Here is a 17,765-nt window from a genome sequence, read left to right on the forward strand (position 1 = left end):
CACCGGGGCATGAGACCAGGAGTGGAAACTCTTCTCCGAAGGGGCGAGGCTAATCCACACTCACACTCCAGGCTGCATCTCAGTTGCTCTAGGCCAAGGCAACGCTTCCATTTTTGCCTATCTGCAGGCTGTGAAATAACATTTCCTGTGGTTTTAATTTGCATTTCCCTTCACTCTGAGGAGGCTGAGCCTATTGCCATTTGCATCTCTCCTTTTGTGTATGGTTTGTCTATATCATTGGCTCATTTTTTTGTGATAGGAAATCTGCTTAAATAGCTTTTGAAATGAAACTTCCAAAAGATTTTTTGAGGTCTTAAGTAGTTTATCTTCAGTAGTTGCCCTTTATTGGCTTCCTGTTAGTTCATTCAAGGAGGCCAATAGCTACTTCAAGGTCACCACATGGCAGGAACCTGCGCACCAGTTAACTCCTGGTCTTTCTGGTGTGGGCAACCTCATCGCAGGGCTCACCATGGGGAGGAGCTGGGAAGAGCCATGGAGAGGTGGGCCAAGGGAGAAGGTTGGACCAAGGCTGTGAAGACAGAGACGTCCCATTTGTCAGGTGCATGGCACCCTGACAGAGGGTTGGAAGGTTTGGGTCAGGGACCTCAGACAGGAGACAGCATGGGACATTGGACTGGCTGGTCCTTGGAGGCCCAGAGCATGTTCTTCTCCTCCAAGTCTTCATGGCCCCATCCTCTGGTCTACAGAGATCCAAATTCTTAGACTCATAATGTCACTGGGCACAATAACGCGGTCATAATTAATTTTCCTCTTCAATCTGGCCAGAGAGATGTTTTGCCTGTTTTTGTTGTTGACATAAAATAATTTCCTATGGTATCGTTTTCATTTCAATTTTATGCAAAACAGTCATATATTCTTTTTATTTAGCCAAACACATTTTTCCTGTGACACAGTTACTATAACAAGTACAGCACAGCATGTATGTGTTTATCTGTAATGGGCTTAATTTATTAGTAATGGCACTATCAACAGAAATTTAAGAAGGGAGAAGTTAGACTTTGATTTCTGTTATAAAGGGATGATAAACTCCAGCTTTTCACAGAGGTTAAAGGAACAACAAAAAGCAATTTGCAAAATCAATGTGAAGTTTAGTGGTTTGGGCCTCATGCTGAAACAGTGCTGTATTTGATTTGTTTAATGATGGCAATGAGGCAAGTGGATAATGAATAACCAACATATTTGGGCCATAACTCATTTGGCTAAAGACAATAATAGTTCTGCTCTTGCAGGAAACAAAACAGAATCCATCCCATAACCTTGAAATTTATGGCCTGCAAGGCAAGCCACTCGAGGATCAGAGATAATTAAATGTCTGCTTTCATGTTTGATGCTGGTGACTGAGCCCACACATGCCGAACGTCCCACTGAAGCCTGAACTTTGCAGTCAGCTGGGATAGCCAAGGGCCTCGTAATAGATTCACAGGTTCCCATGGCTCAGGTCGGCTGCTCTCCCAGCTGGTGCCAATCAGGGGCACATTGAGTAAAATGTCTCAAATCGTCCAGGTGATCTCTAGCCTGTGAAATGGCTGATCCAGCTTACTTCGGGTGCCCACCCTGCCCCAGATTCTATCCAAGGATCTCCAGTAGCACCTACTAATTTCTAGAGCTGATTAAAGATGGACTGGCCCCTCCTGTAAAGACAGCGGAGGGTACCTATGCATGAGCACAAGACACAGGACAAGAGGATAAACAGAACAAGTCCAAGAGAGAACTGAGGTCTCTTCCCTAAACCCAGGTGGACAGTCACTGCCTTTTAGAGGGCATCCCTCTCTCCAGAGCAGGGCCAGGCTGGAGGCCAGGACACTGATATGCTAAGTCAGAAAGTCGGGACTCAGGTGGAAGCCTCGGGGTTAGAGAGGCAGATGCAAGAAGCAAGATGCATTACATGGCTCTCTGGTGGTTTCACTTTTAGACAAATCACCCTCCCAAACAGGGGGAACTGACACATTAAAGAGGAGGCTTGTCTGTAAGTCCCCCCCACAGTGTCCGCCTGAGTGCCAGGTTCAAAAGGATGAAGGAGCAGTAAAAAGACGAATCCAAGAACCTGTCTTTCCTACCTCTGAGAGCCTTTTTGAGGGGAGGCATAGGGTTCCCATGGTGGTACTCAGGGAGGTGCCATGCACCTGACCGAAGGATGTTTCCGTCTTTCATCATTTTTGCTGCCAAGTTCAAATGGAATCCATTTCCATGCTCAGGAATGCACACATGCCCACAGCAGGGATGGGGCCTGGGTCTCACGAGTGACTTGGCCCTTACCGTGTATCAGTTATCTTTTGTACGATGAAGGCAGTAGTGCCAGCTTCCTGGGACGGTTGTGGGGTTAAGCGAGGCATCTATGACAGGTTCCCGCCACCTTTCTTCCCTTCCAGGCTGTGTCTCACTGCTGCCCAAGGGACAAGTTGCTGATGGGAATTCGTTGCTGCCTGAAGGTGCTTAGGGTCTGCTGTGCACATCCCGACCCAACTGTCTGCTCTTTTCACCCACCTCACTCCCCACCACACTGTCCACTTCACTCTGGCCTGCTACAATTAGTAGCCCAGACAGATCTTCACCACTCTTTTTTACCCCCAGAATGCTTGCAACTGGCACATAAAGGCTGCATTGTCAGCATAGCACTTGGCTAGCATTGTTGAGATAACCTAGGCAGAGGGCTGACACTCTCGACTTAATCTGGGAAGGGGAAAGGCAGTTTTGTCCTGCCCAGAACTTAAAATATTGTGGAAAACTCAAGTCTGTAGATTCCTGAGCTGCCTTTCCTTTCTATCCTTAGTTTAGGTAGATTGTCCCAGAAAACAATTGGCAGAACTTATTTTTCCTTTCGGGCCAAACTCTCCCTTTGCCCACCTCCAACATGACTCATAGGAGGAGGCAGTTGGTGTTCGCATTTTAACTGACTGCCTTCTGTTCCTTTCCTACCTAGGAACCAAAAAGAGTCTTCAGGAGTACTGGATGCTAATGTAGCCACAGGTATAGTAGGAGGGCATGGGCTGGGCTCTGCAAGGCCAAGGAAGCCACAGCCAGACCAGTGATGGCAGAAAGCGCCTAATGCCATGAGTATTTCTGAGTGCTGTCTCAGCCTCAGTGAACTTCATCTTGGGTTAGATGGAACTAGGAGACTTCAACCTTGTCACCACAGACTGTCACTGTCCTGAAAACCCCGCCTTTTCCTGCATCTCAGATGACAGTGATTTAAGTGAGGGGCCCCAAACCTGGACATCTGATTACCCAGGGAAGGTTCAAATGCAGTGCCTGAGCCTCTCCCCAAGACTCTTGCTCAGTGTGTCTGGGGTGAGTCCAAGAAATTGAATTTCAGTCAACTAGATTTGGGAATGTCTGCTTTTTGTTGTTGTTCTGGGTTTTATCGCTTCAACGTTTTATTCTGAAAAAATATAAGACTTACAGAAAAGTTGCAAAAATAGTAGGACAATTTAGCAAAACCAGGAAATTCAAACTGGTACAGTACTATTAACCGAACTGTAGGCTTTATTCAGATTTCACCAGTTTTGCCACGAAGGTCCTATTTTTGCTCTACGATCCTACCCAGGATTCCAGATTGCATTTAGCCCTCATGTCTGCTTAGTCTCCTCTAATCTGTGAGGACACTTTGTGACCTTGGTATTTTTGAAAATTACCGGCCAGTTATTTTGTAGAACATCCTTCCATTTGGGAAGGCTGTGCATATAATGGACAGGATTTTATGTGGAAAAAAAGGAAGTCCTAGGGAGCACATCTGGCCCTGCCGTTTTACGTCCACTCAGAACAAGGAGGGCGTGAATGGACGGTGTTGAACAGTGGCCAAGCCCGGGACCTCCCAGCCACAAGACATGGACATTTAAGGCATCTTGAAGTTCTGATGTTAGTCAACTAGACTCCTAGACACATTGCTCCCAGTACACCTGGTAGAAAATCTTTGGGATCTTTGGGATTAAAAAACCAAAAAACGATTTTCAAATTACACTTGATAATTATGTGCAAAAAAACCCCGAAATAACATCTCTCAGTGCTGCAAAGGTGAAAGCGCACAGATGGATTTCTGTCACCTGAAAGTAAAGTTGGGTCGATTTCCTGTTGATGTGAAAGATGGTCAGGAACTGTCCTGCCAAGCATCGGCAGGGCACAGCTGTTTCCAGTGTGGACTGTGATCCAAAGTCGGCTCAAACCCTTCTCTACCACTAAGTGTGAGCCCTGGGCCAGTGACCAGGTTCTCTGGTCCGGGTTTGCTCACTTATTGAAGATATAACAAGAGTTCCCATCTCACAGTGTTTCCATAAAGATTAAGTGAAACAACCCATGTAAACACTCAGTAAATGGTGGCTGCCATTGCCATTGTTCTCGGATGCGACTCATCTTAGTAGAGTCACCTGTGAGCCCTTTGTGGGAATTTTTAATGTTTTCATTTCTAGGGAGGAAGAAAAAGAACTTGGGTGTTTTTCCTGAGTCCCCAGACAGTCCTGTGCTGCATGCTGGCAGCAGAGGCACCCCACATCAGATTCTTCCACCATCACTTTGACACCGTGAGAACTGTCACCAGGGCCTGGGGTGCAGTGTGGCTGCTGGTGCCTTCAGAGTGACCCATGCCATCTATGGCAGAGTTGCAAGGCAGACAGGGATAAACATTTCCAGTCTGTTCTCTGTTATGAGCTTTGAGGGGAGGCCGTCCCGTGGGAAAGGCTGGAGAGCAGCTTTGATTCAGCTGGAGCATTTGAGTGGGAAGTGGAAATGAGGAGTCGGGAGAGGCCCAGGTGTCATCCGCAGCCAGCCGACCTTGCCACAGTGCTGGAGAAGCCTCTCTACTGGGTGGCAGAGTTGTTTCTGCTGTGGAAGTTTGCTGTGTACCATTTCATACCCTGCCAGCACCTGTTTGCTGGCCCCCTTGTTTTGTTCTCTTATGTCCCCAGCCTTTTTTTTTTTTTTGCTTTCTGGAAACTTTCTGAGAGCCAGCTCCCTGGCTGGACCCCATCTGCTGCCCTGAGTGTTTCTCCCCACACTGTGTCCCCATCAGGCCCCTGCCTTTCTCCCCAGAGGCTCCCATCGCAGAGGCTCAGGGTGTACATGTACATGATGTTTGATGAATGGCAAAGAAACTGACCAGCAGACAGATGGTTGACCAAACACCCAAAGGGGCTCTTGTCGCGTGTGACTTGAATTGGGTGTAAGACTGATTTTAGCTGATTACTTTCATTTCACGTGGTCTTTCAAGTGGTGAGGTGAATTAACTTTGGCTAACAAAGGGAAGGTTTCAGATTCTCAGGTATTTTTCATTACACCAAGGGGATAACATATATCTAAGAGAATTTTTTTCAAATTGCCATGGAGGTCCACAGAAAGTAGAATTTCATAAATGGGGAAGACTTTTCCATGAATACTCGCTTTTCAGGGATACATCTGGCAAGCTAAGGGAATGAAGCCTATGTTGGCTTTTCCCTCACAGCAGAGGACACATGAGCCCAGACCAGAGGGTGAAGCAGCATCCCAAGGGGTCTGGAATATCCAAACCATGAGTAGACCCACGAGGGAGAGGGCACAGGCTCTGTGCTGTCAGGTAGCAAGACCCATAAAGGTACCTTTAGTTCTGTTCTCTGAGCCTGTCCCAGATAGGCTGGCTCAATGTCCGAAGCTATTAAAAGATTGTTACATGAGCTGTAAGGTGACCGGGCCCTTATTCGAGTATTAATATTTATATCAACTGAACTGAGCAGTTACAGGACTAAAGCAAATGTGCAAACAGAATTGTTAAGCATCTTTAAATACCTTCATGGGTAAAATATCTGTGGGGTCTTCTGTAGTCATTCAGCCACAATATATACCTAAATGGACAAAGATTCATAGACTGATGTCCACACCACCTTCTGTGGCTGGTGAAATTTTAAGATGCCCAGCTAGTGCAGCATGAACTACTTCTTCTTCTTTTTCTTTTTTTTTTTTTTTTTTTTTTGAGATGGGGCCTCGCTCTGTCACCCAGGCTGGAGTGCAGTGGCACCATCTCGGCTCACCGCAACCTCCGCCTCCCAGGTTCAAGCAATTCTCTGCATCAGCTTCCCGAGTAGCTGGGACTACAGATGTGTGCCACCATGTCTGGCTAATTTTTGTATTTTTAGTAGAGATGGAGTTTCACCATGTTGGTCTCAAGCTGCTGACCTCAAGTGATCCACCTGCCTCAGCCTCCCAAAGTGCTGGGATTACAGGTGTGAGCCACTGTGCCCGGCCAGCATGGACTTTTTAAGGAAGTATTTTGTATCTTGGTTAAGAAGTTGCAGCAAGAGGTCTTTCTTGTCAAGAGAGATATTTTATCTTATTTACTGTTGTTAAAATTATCTTTCTTTAACAAACACTCTAAGGAGTCTTTAAAGAACATAAAAGGTTATTACAAACTAGTATTTTTATTGCTGCCCCATAGAACAAATTCTGTTGCTCAGTTGAATGTAATCTGTCTCCAGCTGAGACTTAGGAGCCAAACATTTTGTCTTGTTGAGCCAAACATTCAGTCTGGAGGCCAAGGGATCAGGGGTGGGGGAAAGAGGAGCTAGTGCAAGAACAGCTACAGATAGATTGCTTCAGGGCCCAAAGGTAGGCTTGGAAATACAGTAGTTGCAGTAACACGATTTGAGAGAACCCCTCACCACATATCCCATGTCTCTCTAAAAACCCATACTTGATGTCTGTGTTTTGATTCTTTGAGTTAAATGCTGAGCACACAATGGGTTCTCAATAAATCATTTGTTGGTTGACCAATTGATGGATATTATGTTGACCCCTGTTCCAAGTGCTGATTCCTGGAAGAGAAGGAGCCCTTTATTTTCATAATAGGTATTAGTCCCCATTGATTCTGCCATGGACATAGGTCTTTCAGATCTTTTGTCCACAGGCTGAGTGAGCTTATATTTAGGGGATGATGGGAAGGCATAGACCATGGGGTGTGGCCTGCAGATGCATGAGGTGGGCCCTGGCCTCTGGGGAGTAGATGAGGGGAGTTGGCAAAGGAACTGGGGAGACATTAAGGTGAGCTTACTTTCTCTGAACTTTGATCAACAGCCTGCCCTGGTCATCTCAGGAACTCTGGCTGATTTAGGGATTTAGGGTGAAGGCAGATCCATAACGTTTCTCTTCTGAAAATGAATACCCCAAACTCTGTGCGAACTTTAAAGAAATACACAGTGGGTCAAATACAATTTGTAAATTAAGGAAAATGTAATTAGCCACCCTTTCAAATGAAGACTTGTCTTGGGTGAGGCAGCTACCTCCTCATTCACCCTTATCCAGCCTTTATTTTGATGTTGAAATTGAAATACTAAACAATGGGAATACCATCATGCCAAGCTAAACACAAGCCAATTCTAAGTCAGTTAAATATGAGCATCCCTCCAGTTGCCAACTGCAACCCCCCAGTGAGAGTGGTCATTGGCCATTCTTGAGTCTTGTGTGTTCCATAGAAAACAGCCACCAATTCCAGCCAGAATAAGTTTGGCAGTTTGCTCCTTAGCCTCCATTCCTCGAGGAGCCACTGGTTATTTTAATTATTGTCTCTAGAGGCCTTTTAGTGAGTTGAGGCTAAGACCCACAGTACTCATGGAGAGATTTGTCCTCACTGCTGCCCCTTGCCCTGGCTTCATGCACTTGCTCTGTGGGTCTTGAGCATGTCCCCAGCTATTGTTGGTCGTCTGTTGGATTTGTGAGGTTGTTGGGTCTTGTGGAACCCCTCGCTGTGCACTGGTTGCCTCACCTCATTTGTATTAGTGGAGCTTGCATTTTCCCCTGCTCTGGAATCACCTTCCCAGCTCTGATACACTCCTCATACTGGGTAGATGCTGAGGTCTCTCCTGCCCTCTGCACTTCTGCAGTTCACCCCCTTCTCAGAAGCCTCGTGAGGGTGAGCCTCTCCTCCTTTCTCTCCTCTTTATAAGTGCCCGCATCACTCCTCTCGGCCCTCCAAATCAGCACCTGTGGCATTGTTAGGCCAGCCTGTGTAGCCCCAAACTTTTGTCCTGGCAGACAGACTGCAGGGCACTTCAGCAAGAGCAGGAAGGTACAGAGTGTGAACCCTCTGGCTTCTCTGGAAGTCCCTGGGGAGAAGGGGGGACTGGAGTCTTGACTGCCCTGTGCCTTGCTGCTCATACTTCCTTTTCTTCTCATCCCTTTGGGTGTGACCTGCACCACCACTGCAGTGCGAAGAACCCTGAAGAGCGGCCTGACCCCAGAAGAAGCCAGAGCCCTGGGCTTGGTTGGCACCTCGGAGTTGCAGCTGTGACACTCATAGGTTACTCCCAGGAGTGTGCTGAGCAGAAGGCAAGCTCTTGCTGGATGAAACCCCTCCAGGTGGGGTTGGGGAGACTTGATATTCACATCCAACAGTTTGAAAAGGGAGAGCTCAATTCCCAGCGTCACCCCATGGCTTGTGTTGCCTGCTACGCATTGACTTGGATCTCCAGGAGTCCCCTGCACATACCTTCTCCATCGTGTCAGCTGTGTTTCTCTTGATTCCGTGACACCCGGTTTATTAGTTCAAAAGTGTGACACCTTTTCTGGGCAAGGAACAGCCCCTTTAAGGAGCAAATCACTTCTGTCACAGTTATTATGGTAATATGAGGCAATCTGATTAGCTTCACAGACTGAGTCTCCACAACACCAAAATATCCAGATGTAAACCCCAAACTTGTACACAAAAGAAAGCACAGATTGTTTACCTGTTGTGGATTTTAGATGTAACAAATGTTTATACAAATACATACATGTACACCATGTTTCAAATACTAAATAAATAGAGTTTAATGCCATAATGAGAAACTTTTATTCTTCTGGGAACAGGACCTTAAACAGTTCCACAGGCTCGCCTCTTCAGAATGGCAAAACTCTTCTCAGTGTCCTCAGAAGCACCCTCGCTTGGAACGGCCTTCAGATCCTTTGGGCTGTATTTTGTTAATAGAGTGAGTAACATCAACAGTGTGCTCTTTGAAACTCCTTTTATAATTGGGCCTAAGTCCTTGTTACAGGACGTGTTAGCTGTTGTTAACCTAACATCTATCACCTTACCTGTGTGGTTTGTTTTGCCCCATCCTGATATGGAAGCAAAAATGAGAGCAGCAGTTTACAAATCTGAACTATTCCACAACTCACTCATTGGCCTCTTATGTCAAAATTCATTTTCTCAAAAAATTTACTAAATCACCAAAACAAAATGGAAATGTAAAGCTTTGTGTACAGAGAGCCTCAGAATCGCATGCTTAGTATAGTCATGCATCACGTAATGATGGGGATATGTGCTGAGAAATGTGTTGTTAGGCAGTTTCATCATTGTGCAGATATTATAGACTATACTTACACAAACCTAGATGGTACAGCCTATTATGTACCTAGGCTATATGATACAGTCTGTTGCTCCTAAGCCACAAATCCGTAAGAACATGTCACTGACTGAATACTGTAGGCAGTTGTAACAGCGGTATTTGTGTTTGTAAATATACCTAAACATAGAAAAGGTAGAGTAAAAATACAGTATCAAAGATAAAAGGTGCCCCTCTATAGGGCACTTATTATGAATGGAGCTTGCAGGACTGGAAGCTGCTCTGGGCAGGTGAGTGGTGAGTCAATGTGAAGGCCTGGGACATTACTGTGCACTTTTATACATCTGGCAGCATAAATTGTTTACACCAGCATCACCACAAACACGTGAGTAATGCAGTGCACTATGACATTATGACAGCTACAATGTCACTGGTGATAGGAATTTTTCAGCTCCATTATAATCTTATGGGACCACTGGCATATATGTGGTCTATAGTGAACCAAATCACTGTTCTGTGGCACATTACTATGCATGCTTTTCAAGCGCAGGTCATCAACAGCTGAGATCAGATGGGAAGGCACTGGGAGGGGCTCTCAGCAACTGTAGAGCAATACTGAGGGGTCTGAGACCCAGATGGTGGTCATACCCTCCACGGAAGCCCCTTGGCCTGGGGTCACATGGTTCCCTGTGAGGAACCTCTGTCTCTGAAAACAGGGAAAGGTAAACCATTGCAGCAGGTATTTCGAGGGGTTGAAAAATCATCAGGTCACTAATTCCACCTTTGTCCTACTTTTAAAACCTCTGTAGGCCGGGTGCGGTGGCTGACGCCTGTAATCCCAGCACTTTGGGAGGCCGAGGTGGGCAGATCACGAGGTCAGGAGATCGAGACCATCCTGGCCAACATGGTGAAACCCTGTCTCTACTAAAAATATAAATATTAGCTGGGTGTGGTGGCACATCCCTGTAATCCCAGTCACTCGGGAGGCTGAAGCAGGAGAATTGTTTAAATCAGGGAGTCGGAGGTTGCAGGATCACACCACTGCACTCCAGCTGGTGACAGAGTGAGACTCTGTCTCCAAAAAAATAAAATAGCCTCTGCGACTCTGCATTCCTGAACCTGGGGATATGTGATTTATAGGCAATGTGCAGTAGCATTGCTTAAAAAGCCAAAGACTATATTTTCCCCATAGGCCTCTGTGCCTGTGTTCCCCTCTCTGCTCTAACCCCACTTACGGAGACAGGGAGCTTGTTGAAGCAGACATTTGTCAAATAGTACATGATGGATGTGAACACCCCAGGAGAGCCTGGAACTTGCGAGAGTTGGGTCTGTACATTATAGACGGTTGTGTTTAATCACCTTATTGAAAAGAATACATAGGGTATTAATAGTCATTTTCCATATGCTTCTAAATAACAGGTACAATATTCCACTTATGGTTTAATAGTTTGTGAGAGTGTTCGCCTATTGCTTGGCACTGAATGCAGATTTGGAATGTTTGTATGACATGAGATAATGATGCACAGACAAAAGGAAGCTGTATTTTTGTCACACTGTTTAGTGAACAAATATGTCAATGTCCTCCTGAGGGTCCTTGGTATTCTGCTGAGTTGTTGCTTTAGAATGGAAGGTCATATTTAGAAGGAAGTGATTGAATAAACCTAATCTTAATTTTGTTTTAGGGATCAAAAAGTTCACAGAAGCAGCAAGCAAGGTCAACTAATTTCTTGCTTTCAGCTAAGTAAAAAGGGTCTCTTTTATTGGGCCCAGCATCTTGAATAGTGCCACTGCAGTATGAGAATAAGATAGGGTGGTGATTCCCAGCCCAATCTACACATCGGACTCACCTGGATGCTTTAAGAACTACTGATATTTCTGTCCCTCCACCAGAGATTGTGGTTTAATTGGTGTGAAGTGTGGCCTGGACTTTGGAACATTTAAAAGATCTTCTCATCTCCTTCCCCCCGATTCTAATGTGAAGATAGGTTTGGAAATCACTGGGTATTTTTTTTCTCTCTCTTTTTTTGGTGGGGAGATGGAGTGGGAGTTAGAGACTGAAGATGATGTTTTTGAGAACTTCGCAAAACCAGTAATAATTCCCCAAGGCAGAGCTGGTTTTTAATCACTATCAATTAACTGATCAACTAGGACATGTTTGAGCAAAGCTGCCTTCACACTGTGTGCCCAGACATCTCTGCCGCTTCCTTGCCTGCCCTGAAAGCCAGGAGGCGGCAGCAATTGAGTCCCTCACTAAACATTTGGAAATGAAATGAACGTTTGAAAAATGCCCAGTAACATGGGAGGAACATCGGAAGTGGTATAAAGGGCCAGCTCTTGCCACTTCTCTCTTTTTTCTTCACCCTCGGAAATGCCTGCCAGCTCAGTGGCAGGACAGACATGCTGGGACAGAGGTGAACCCAGAGCCCTGTCCACAAATGTCAAGGAGCAGTCGGGGTGTGCCAGTGAGTCCCGGGAGCTCTAGAACCTTCTGCTCCGGATTCCTGTTCTTCCTCTTGGATTATTTAAATCCACCGGAGGACTAGATCCATCAAAAAGGCCTAAAAGAGCCTATAAGAAAAATCAATTTGCGTTGTTAAACTTAGTGGTTCATTAGTTTTTAGTGAAACTAAAGGATGTTTCCTGTTGCTTGTTTCCCCTCTCTTGATGCCACTCATTCTGACAGCCTCTATGAGCAATTTTTAATTCAGGATGTTAAATTTTTCTAAAAGACCTTCAAGAAGCATGAAAGTGAATAGTACCTTACACTTGTAAGATACTATTCCTCATCTGCCTGGTAATTACCATAGGTGTTCTTGCCCCTGTGTCTTAGCACTTATGTCCTAGTATGTATTGAAATTACAAAACCGCCAGAAAAGAAAGGCAACACTTTTCAAAGGTGTCTGGATTTGGGTTTCTTTGGAATATTAAGGTTTTTTTCTTTCTGTTTAAAAAACAACTTAATGATCTGGGGATGGAGTGGGAGGGTGCACAGGGCCTTGGAGGGCCAGTGACCCAGATTCGTTTTCTTCCAAGTCCATTGTTAACACAGTGCAGGGGGAAGAACAGGGGCCAGGAGTAGGAGACTTAGTTTCCAGGCTCCTGGTCTGTGAGTGGTCTCCACATTGTCCATGGCTCCCAAATCCACTATTTCTGTGTTCATAGATACACCTAAGATGGTGTATCACCAAATACCACTGTAACAGGTTGAATGACAGCCATCTAACAGTAGCAGGTCCTAATCCCTGGAACCTAGAAATGTTACCTTCTAAGGAAGGGTCTTTGCAAATGTGATTAAATTAAGGATCCTGATATATGGGGATTATCCTGGATCATCCGGGTATTCTCTAAACCCAGTCATGAGTGTCCCTTATAAGAGAAAGGCAGAGTGAGATTTGATACACACTAAAGGCAACGTGAAGACAGACGAAATTGGAGTGACATGGCCACAAACCATGAAACACTGGCAGCCACCAAGAGCTGTAAAAGGCAAGGAATAGGTGCTGCCCTGGAGCCTCCAGGAATAGCACAGCCGCTCGACACCTTGATTTTAGCTCAATAAAACTAATGTTGAACTGCTAGCCTCCAGAAATATGATAAAATAAATTTCTGTTGTTATAAACCACCAAGCTTGTGGTGATTCCTCACGGTATCCTCTAAGAAATGATACAACCATCCCAAATGTGCACCGCGCACCCGTTATGGAGGTAACTGTGCGCCAGGCACTTGGGATTCATCTGGGAAAAAGGAGAGTCATGGTCCTTCCCTTAGGGCCCTTTCCTGGGGCCTGGGAAGGAGTCATCTACTGAAATTAAAATTTTAATTCATCTACCACTCTGCAGCCATATCTAGATTTTTAAAATCAGAAATCATTTTATCAGATAAGTACAAATAATACCAAATTGCCTAAGATAGGGGATGAAATGCCTTTGCAAATGCAGTGAAGGTATATGATATTAAAATGCACCATTCAGTTTGTCAAAAAAGGTGGTCTATTTGGTAGAAAAATCAGTTGTGTTTGCTAGACAATTTGTGGAGGGAAAATGGACTTTCTAAGTGATTTCTAAAAATAGCTAAAATATTATTTATTGAAGCCATCTCTGTGTGAGCACTTCATATTTAATAGAATCCTTATAGCCACTCTGCATTTTCATTTTTCATATAAAGAAACTGAGGATGAGACATATTGAATAACTCTCCAATGACAGAAGATAAGACGTGATATATACTGGCTTGTCTCACTAGTTCCTGGTTATTTTCTTGTTCTTTTAGAAACCTTAAGACAGCTGCTAGTTGAATATCAATAGTCAGCTATGCTTTGGGGCACAAAATATGCAGCCCAGTCTGACTGGGCTGACTGACTTGGGAGCCAGCCAGTCCTACCTTGACCAAGTTGAAAACTCCTGGAGGCCTAGTCGTGTACAGGGTTGAAGCACTGTACCTTAAAATTTTCCTGGTCAGGCGTGGTGGCTCATGCCCTGTAATCTCAGCACTTTGGGAGGCCAAGGTGGGCAGATCACCTGAGGTCAGGAGTTGGAGACCAGCCTGAACAATATGATGAAACCCCATCTCTACTAAAAATACAAAAATTAGCTGGGCGTGGTGGCATGCACCTGTAATCCCAGCTACTCAGGAGGCTGAGACAGGAGAATCACTTGAACCAGGGAGGCAGAGGTTGCAGTGAGCCGAGATCGCGCCATTGCACTCCAGCCTGGGTAACGAGTGAAACTCTGTCTCAAAAAAAAATTTCCTGAACGCTGAAAATTTTGTTCAAGGTTGGCAGTCATGTACAAATTTCTCATCAATTATACATAACTGGTCATCCATCCCACATCCACCCATTCATCCGTGTATGTAGGTTCAGCACCAATCGGAAAGGTTCAGAAGTGCAAAATCTTTTTTTGTGCTTTGATGATAGAGTCATTTCCCACTCTGATTGGTGAATGGATATGGTGAGAGGTTATTTGGATTGCTGATACTTTCTCGAGGGAGGGCCAAGCCCATTTTATTCTCCTAATGAGCACTATTGTCTTTAAGAATAATTTTTGTTTAAGATGATCCACTTGAGGAAGTTAAGATTTAGGATTTTGGGGAATTTGTACTTCAAACACAGTTCAGTTGTTGACAGTAGAGACTGTTCCTAATTACTGGATTAGTGACAATGATTCCAGAATGTTTTGTCATTTAAAACTACAGCATTATATGTATAGGAAAATTATATAGGCTGGATAATTAGAAGTGTCAACAAAAAAATCATAGGATCTGTAACTCTGGAGAGGAAACTATTTCTTATAAAGGGTCAACCAAAAGACAGGCACTTTGAGGGACAGGAGGGTAGAACAGGGATTTATGCTGAATGGGTTGGCCAAGTATACATACTCAACAGTTACAGGAGAAGCTATGAATATTTATGAAGGTGGTCCTAACGCATGTGTACTGAAAAAACGTGTTACATATGGCCCATGTTCTCTTAGGGGTGGAGACTTTTAAATGTATTACCATTAAGCCCTATACATCAAAAGGTGAAGCAGAGACAGGAAGGCACTCAAGTATGCAGCCTCTGTGAAACTGACCAGAACCAGTCCATGGTTGGTGGTCTTTTACCAGGAGAAAGTTACAGAAATAAATGTCTTGTCCAATCAAAGCATGGTTATGGCTGATAGAATAAGGGGTCAGTTAGCGTCTGGTGGTGTTCTGTCACCCAGGCTGGAATGCAGTGGCGCAATCTCGGTTCACTGTAACCTCTGCCTCCCAGGTTCACGCCATTCTCCTGCCTCAGCCTCCTAGCTGGGACTACGGGTGCCTGCCACCACGCCCGGCTAATTTTTTTGTATTTTTAGTAGAGACGGGGTTTCACCATGTTAGCCAGGATGGTCTCGATCTTCTGACCTTGTGATCCACCCGCCTCGGCCTCCCAAAGTGCTGCGATTACAGGCCTGAGCCACTGCGCCTGGCCAATTGTTTTATTCTTTAAGTGTAGGGAGGGGTGCATGACTTAACCCTTGGCTGACATGGCTTTAGATCCTGTTTATTATTTGGTATCTTATTGTCACAAAGTTGTTCCGTCAGTCTTATGATCTCTCTTTTAATATCAATGCTGATCAGTTGTTGTGTCTAAAACCACAAAAGGGAGGGGGTATGATGAGGTGTGTCTGACCTCCCATCCTGTTATGGTCAGAAACTCAGTTTCTAAGGTTCTCTGGAGTCCCCTTGGCCAGCAGAGAGTCTGTTCACTTGGTTGGAGAGTTTTATTTGTAGTTCTCAGAAGCAACACCTAACAGTGAAAAATAGCACATTCTTGCCATAACTGAGGAATGATTGCGACACTGTTGTTCCCATGCTGTTGGATTGGCGCCTGCTGCACACGCTACAGCTCCGGGGCTTCATGCTGCTGACTCTTTGCTTGTGGCCAGTCCCCATGCCTGCAGAGACACAGCTCCTCAGCTCCCATTGGAGGGGCTCAACAGCCAGTTTCCAGTGAACACATTTTCTTCTATTCATTTTGATATTATAAGTTATCTGGTGCAGATGGAAATAGGAATACATGGGTCTTGGTTCAGAATTTAAAGATATTCCAGAGGCATGCATAGCATGTTACAGGTAGCACATTAAATGAGCCACAAGGTAATAGGGGGCCTTGTGTTCCTCTGTGTCAGCAGCAGTTTTCCTGAACTATGAGAGGTCACTGCAGTATGTGGACTATTCAGTTGGCCCAGCTAAGCAGAGGGTTTGGCTTTTTCTCTTTCAGAAAACTAACCAAAAATTTTGTTTCCCTTCAGAGAGAGACTTCGCCCCTAATAGTATCTGCCTAAAAATGCTTTTAAGCCCTCACTGCTCTTTGGGGAGAGCGATCCCACTGGGGAACAGCCAGATGCTTTTGGGCAGGGCAATGGGCTAGGAAATAAAGTTGCTTTTCCAAAAAAACACTTGTCATGTACCCAAGGGAATAATTATAGTTTTTTAAATCGCAATTTTCAAATAAGAACTGAATAAAAACGTGGTATTTATACAGGAAGAGCTGGCTGCCTGGGACAGTTCTTGTAGCCATTTTATCCAGTCCCTGAAAAGAGGGATCCTTGATGATACACTTATTTAGACAAGGTGATTTTACTGGAACTCAGCACACAGCAGCAGGTGGTAAACTGGCTACAGAATAGAGCAATTCAGTCAACTTCAGAGGCTTTCTTGGCTTAGATGATTAGGCATGCGATTAGGAATGTTGTGAGAATTAAAGGAGCTCATTCACAGAGATGCAACACATCCTCAGAAATGCCACCTCAATAGAAGGAAGTGAACTCTAATCCAGCTAGCTATCCCTCTGTCAGCAGGTGTTATGAAAAAATAATATTTATGTCTTTGGAAGAAAAAATTGCCTGAAATTCTAAGGGTTGTGGTAATTTAGAACTTTCTAAACCTATCTATCTATCTATTGGTCAATCTATCTGTGTGTGTATACACACACATATAGAAGTTCACTGTTGGGTTAAACTATATGGACTTGTGTTTGTGAACAAATGTAAGACAGATTTTTGAATTTGTCTTGTGCTTGAATTCTGTTTCTGATATTATATTGAAGACGGATTACCATTTTTTAATGGCCTAAAAACATGGTTTGTGAAGATAGTTATTAAGGCCACAGCCATCTATTTTAGAATCTAATTTTCACAGGAAATTTGAGTTTTTTCTGATGAACACTGAGTTGCTCAATAAACATACATTCTAGAGCCCCAACACCATGTCCCAGAACCTGTGTAGCCAGGGTCTAGAACCACGTGTGGTAGCAGATGTGGCCTGGAACCACCAGGCACTTAAACACAAACCCTCAAGTACCATCCATATCACCGTCTCTGTCCCATGAGATGGCCTCGTTTTCAAAATAAAGTTGAAAAGTATAAAGCTGGGCGCTGGGGCCTTGGTAAAGGTAAGCTGTTTTTCCAGAGGTTTAATCTTGTCTTTAGTGTGTTCCATACTTGAAGCTTTTGCTTGAGGGATGGGGTTTCTCCTTTACACTCAACTATGTTCAGGCTGTTTATGCCCCTGCCCTAGGGACATATTCTTTTCTAGTCTTTATGCTGTGGAAGAAAGATTAACCTAGCTGGTCTTCAGAGGAGTACCAGTTACCTCAAAACATGTTTTGTTTTGTTTTGTTTTTAATTTTAAATTTTAAATTTTTGTGGGTACATAGTAGGTGTATATATGAGATTTTTGATACAGGCATGCAATGTGTAATAATCAAATCATGGAAGATGGGGTATCCATCCCCTCAAACATTTATCCTTTGTGTGAGAAATGTTATTTCTTGAACAATTATTTCTGAGGCTAGGAGGACGATCCCAAAGCTAGGCCCCCCTGCTCCCTAGGAGGGCAAAGGAGATGAGCTGCTTTAAGATGCAGAAAATCCTGAAGACCTAGAACCTGCTCCTTCCTTTCCCACAGCTTTCCACACTGGAGACTGTGCAGAGACCTAGA

General features: G+C 44.5%; 2 protein-coding genes across 56 annotated transcripts in view, besides 1 other annotated feature; one reads left to right on the plus strand and one right to left on the minus strand.

The window, feature by feature from the left end:
- The window catches only part of FHOD3 (formin homology 2 domain containing 3), a 482,508-nt gene extending 473,552 nt beyond the window's left edge, over positions 1 to 8,956 (plus strand). For 38 of the 45 annotated variants that reach the window (XM_011526189.2, XM_011526190.3, XM_017026008.2 and 35 more), the window contains one exon: positions 8,184 to 8,956. In XM_011526189.2, the coding sequence (XP_011524491.1) occupies positions 8,184 to 8,266 (83 nt within the window). In that variant the 3' untranslated portion in view covers positions 8,267 to 8,956. Of the gene's footprint in view, positions 1 to 2,941 lie in introns of all 45 variants that reach the window. The other 7 variants (XM_047437839.1, XM_047437843.1, XM_047437849.1 and 4 more) reach the window with 2 other exon arrangements.
- TPGS2 (tubulin polyglutamylase complex subunit 2) overlaps positions 8,760 to 17,765 on the minus strand; it is a 48,979-nt gene continuing 39,973 nt past the window's right edge. For 4 of the 11 annotated variants that reach the window (XM_005258242.5, NM_001271955.2, NM_001271951.2 and 1 more), the window contains one exon: positions 15,245 to 15,815. In XM_005258242.5, the coding sequence (XP_005258299.1) occupies positions 15,558 to 15,815 (258 nt within the window). In that variant the 3' untranslated portion in view covers positions 15,245 to 15,557. Of the gene's footprint in view, positions 11,868 to 15,244; positions 15,816 to 17,765 lie in introns of those variants that run through there. The other 7 variants (XR_007066143.1, XR_007066142.1, XM_017025702.3 and 4 more) reach the window with 5 other exon arrangements.
- Positions 16,218 to 16,767: an enhancer, noted in NCBI's record as "NANOG hESC enhancer chr18:34367445-34367994 (GRCh37/hg19 assembly coordinates)". NCBI's record gives its function as "activates a minimal SCP1, AML or CMV promoter by ChIP-STARR-seq in naive H9 embryonic stem cells {active_cell/tissue: H9 hESC(naive)}" and the evidence as "EXISTENCE:reporter gene assay evidence [ECO:0000049][PMID:30033119]".

The sequence above is a fragment of the Homo sapiens genome, chromosome 18 (genome assembly GCF_000001405.40).
Source record: "Homo sapiens chromosome 18, GRCh38.p14 Primary Assembly".
NCBI classification, from domain to species: Eukaryota; Metazoa; Chordata; class Mammalia; order Primates; family Hominidae; genus Homo; species Homo sapiens.